General features: G+C 53.5%; 1 long non-coding RNA gene across 1 annotated transcript; it reads left to right on the plus strand.

Annotated features, from left to right (window-relative positions):
- The first annotated feature begins 468 nt into the window (after nt 1-468).
- Nucleotides 469-2,605, plus strand: LOC124905325 (uncharacterized). Its single transcript, XR_007068538.1, has 2 exons — nt 469-997; nt 1,712-2,605. It is a non-coding gene; the product is annotated as an uncharacterized LOC124905325 (long non-coding RNA).
- Nucleotides 2,606-4,261: the final 1,656 nt, after the last annotated feature.

The following is a 4,261-nucleotide window of genomic DNA, read 5'->3' on the forward strand; positions in this document are numbered from 1 at the left end:
AGGTTGGCTAAAGATACACAGTCATCAGGAGACAGGCATAACAACATAAAACCAGTTGTAGGTAACACAGAATGATTCTGATATTGATGTTCAATTCCACACACTAACAGACGTGAGAACCTCATTCACCGCACGTGGAGAAGGCACTGTATCTGCTCCGTGGTGGTCCCGATGACTTGTGTTTATCGTTGCCTGGGTCTGCATTTTCTCTTCTCTAGATTTTGCTTATCCTGCAAAGTTTGTGCTGGGACATCATTTCTAGGATTGAGTTTAAGCTGAGCCTCAGAGTTTTTATTGCAGCTACGGTGGATATGGCTTGGTTCCCTGCAGTACTCTCTGGAAAGTACCTTCCTCCATTTGAAATCCCTGACGTGGTACCTCCTACAGCCTGCACAGCTCTGGCCTCTGCCATGGGTCTCATGGCCTCTTCTGCTAAAACTAGAGAGGAGGTTCATCCCCTGCCTCTTTATAGAGAAGAGCCACTTGCTGACTGAGCTGAAAAGGGACTCCCCACTGAGCAGGCTCACCAGTGTCCCGACAGCCGGGCAGATCATGGGGACGGGGAATTCTGAGCAGACCCTCTTCAGAAGTTGAGTCTCAAGGGGCCTTGGGGAACTTGGTCAGCAGATGGCAAGACTTCATCTGTCAGTGGGCGGGTCAGCTCAGCGGGACTCCTGTCTTTGGAACTGAGACTCAAGTCTCTACTCTGTACCAAGACAGAGATGGAGGCCAGGAAACAAGACACACAACCATTTTCCATCATCGAGGGGCAAGGCAGGGCTTGGCATGAGGCAGAACCGGGCTCCATCAATGCCACATGTCAGGAGGAACCCCTTTTCTGTTTCAATCCCTCCTGCCCATTTGTGGGAGGCATTAGAGAGGCCTGACATAGTTTTTTTTCTCCACGGCCTGAGGACGTGATAGGATTTCATTCCCGCCCCACCTTGTGGTTGGATGGAATCATGTGCCCAATTCTGGTCAAGATCAAGAAACTGAGGTATCATTTTTGTTTGTGTGGGACCAGGAAAATGGCTCTAATTTGGCTTTGTGTTTGTGCATGTGTGTGAGAACGGACAGGTAAATGTGTGTAATGGAGAGTGGGTAGGTGAGTGTGTACGTGTGTGAGAGTGTGTATGTGAGTTGTGTGAATGTTTGTGAAGAAATGTGTGATAGTGGTGTTTGAACTTGGCAGTATGAGTGTGTATGTGGAATATAACTGTGTGCGGATGTGTAAATATGAGTGCATATGTGTGTTAATGTGTGTAAGTGTGTGAATAAGCCATGTGAGTGTGGTGTGTGAGCTTGGGTCCATGAGTGTGTGTGCGTGTCTGTGTGAGCATGACAGAGTGTGTGAGTTTGGGGTGTGTGCAGGCCACAGCCAGTCCCTCCTGGGGTACTAGATCTTTCCAACCCAAGCACCTCAAGTCGTTCTCCTTCCTCACTCCATCCTGAGCTTCCCAGCCAACTGCCTCTCATCCAAACTCCCACAGGGAAACAGTCCCTGGGACTAGGGGCTCTGAGCATGGCACAGTGCCAAGTCTCCTCCCTGGCCACCTCCTGAGAACCTGGGTGTAGCACAAAACAGTCAAATATGTTCCTCTTCTGTCATCACTAACTAGAGCTCCACAGCTTCCCAGATTGCCCTGTTAGCTCTTCACCATAATTAGCTATTTTCTGATATCATACTAACATTCCTTAATTATTCCCTCAGAAACAAAGCAAATCCGTGGGATGCAGAGGGTACGCTGATGACTTCTGCTGGGGAGAGAAGCCCAAACACACGTCCTGGGCAGAGCCCAGAGACCTGGAGTGTGGCTGCCAGTGGGCACCCGGCTGAGGGACAAGCAGGTGGGCCTCAGTGGTGGCTGCCAGGTCCCTGGACGCCGGGGGCCACCGGCTTTGCCTCTCCTCTGCCTCGGAAGCACCGGAGGCTTTGGGGATCTGGTGGTCCTCCGGCCCTGAACGTGGACCTGGTGTGACAAAGGGAAGTTTGCCATCTCCATCCTCCTCAAGCTGCCTGTGCACCCCAGTAGCACTCACCCTCTCTGTGCTCCCGTCTGCACCGCATGTCCTGGGGTCCTTCTTTGTGCTGCACCCAGTGACAGGAACCAGTGTCCCGACTGTGACTTACTTCCCCCCTCAGGGACACACAAGGACTTTCACATCGAGGCTACTTTTCACCCCTTCTGCCTCCTGCAGGGACGCTGCATGCAGAGGCAGGAGGACAGAGGGGCTGGTCTCAGGTGTGGCTTCTCTCATACCTGGCGCAGGTGGCCACTCCCCTTCCCCCCCCCACTCCCCCACCCCACCTCAGCTCCCGGGTGTGAATGAGAAAGGGGAACCAAGAGATCATCATTACATGGGACATGCCACAAACCCCAAAAAGACCCATTTGGTGAAAAGAAGTAAAACAACCACAAGGCTATTTTGGCCTGAGGTGGTCTCATGGCTGAAGCAGCCGCTGGTCTCTTGCCTGGGCTACTCAAATAGTAACCCGGTGTGTCCTCCCATGTGCATTTTCCTTCGGGTTGAGCAAAAACACTTTGTCATCCTCCCACTCCTCAATAGAGCAGAAGGGAATGAAAGGCAACTACAGGGCCTTACAGAGCTGCTCCGGGGGCCGCGGGAAACTTATCAGCATCCTAGAAAAGACAAAACCAGTGGGTTGCATGTGGCCTCTGACACCTGCCACCCTGACTGCAGGGAGTGGCCTCCCCCACCTTTCACCTTCCCATCATTAGTAAGCAAAGTGACCCCCTACGCCTGGACAAAGCGCTCAAAAGCCCAGGCCCGCGGGTTAGCTCCAGCCGCTCGGCTTGACAGGGGCCAGGGAGGCGGGCCAGCCCCACAGCCAAGTCACAGCTCCAGGGCCTGGTCGCACCTGAGCAGCGCGGCCTCGGGCTGCTGCTGGCGCTGCAGGATCCGCGCCTGACCCTCCAGCCTGCGCAGCAGGCACTCGGCCGGGAAGCACCTCTCCAGCAGGCGGCTCAGCACCACGTTCACGCGCCCGCGCCTGTGGCCGCGCGGGCCCCAGCTCCACTTAGCGCTCACAGACCGTGAGCCCGCAGGGCAGCGTCACAGGCTTGTGCAGCAGCCGTGGGCAGCCAAGCAGGTCGCGGGGCGCGCCGGGCGCCAGGGCCGGCCCTCCCTAGCCCTGAGCTCGCCGCCAGGCTTCCCCGCCAACAGTGGCCGTTCGCGCAGGCCGGGACACACCAGGCCGCCCGCCAGCTCCCCCAGCTCCTCCGGACTCAGCGCCTCCAACCTCCCGGCTACATGGAACGCGCCCAGGGCCACCGGGAGGCGGCCGGCGCGGGCCAGCGCGTCCCCCAGCCTCAGGCACCGGCCGCGGTCGGGCTGCGCCAGCAGGGCCAGCATGGAGCGGAAGAGCCCGGCGCTTTCTGGTACTTGCTCGCGCGGAAGGCCTCGTCGCCCTCCTCCAGGCGGTGGGCGATTGGCTTCCCGCAGCAGCAGCCCGACACTGGGGCGGCGGCGGCGGGACCGGCTCAGTGCTGATTCTCGCGGGGCTGCGACCGTGCGGGCCTGGAGCGAAGGCGCGGAGCAGGGGCGATGAGCTGCTGCTGGGAACTGGCCGGCGGGAGCGCGGCCACAGCCTTCGCCTGCAGAACCAAAAAAACGGTTTTAAAAATCTTTTTAACATCCGCAGAACGTGAAGAATTACATTGGAAATTGGTTAGAGATTGTATTGGACCTATAGATTGATTTGAGTATGATGGTCATTTTAACAGTATTAACACTTCTAATTCAAAAAATGGGATAACCTTGTCTTTACTTGTATCTTTTCAATTGATTTTTATCAATGTTTTATAGTTTTCATTTTAGACGTCTTTATTTTGCCAGGCATTTTTTTTATAGCTATTTTCAATGGGGATTCCTTTTTCAGATAGTATGCTGTTGGGTATAGAAATGCATCTGATTTTTCTATGCTGATTTTGTATTCTAAAACTTTACTGTATTCATTTACTGTTTCTGTTTTTCAGTATAGGGTCTTTTATACATATGACATGATCTATGTCATCTGCAAACAGGGACAATTTGACTTTCTTTTTGTTTTTCAATTTGGATGTCTTTTCTTTCTCTTTTCTAATTGCTCTAGCTAGGACTTCCAGTGCTATGTTGAAGAGAAGTTATTAAAGTGAACATCCTTGTCTTGTTCTTGATCTTAGAGACACAGTTTTCAATTTTTCCTTATTCAGTATCATGTTGGCTGTGGGTTATCACATATGGTCTTTATTTTATTGAG

The sequence above is a fragment of the Homo sapiens genome (assembly GCF_000001405.40).
Source record: "Homo sapiens chromosome 15 unlocalized genomic scaffold, GRCh38.p14 Primary Assembly HSCHR15_RANDOM_CTG1".
Classification (NCBI taxonomy): Eukaryota; Metazoa; Chordata; class Mammalia; order Primates; family Hominidae; genus Homo; species Homo sapiens.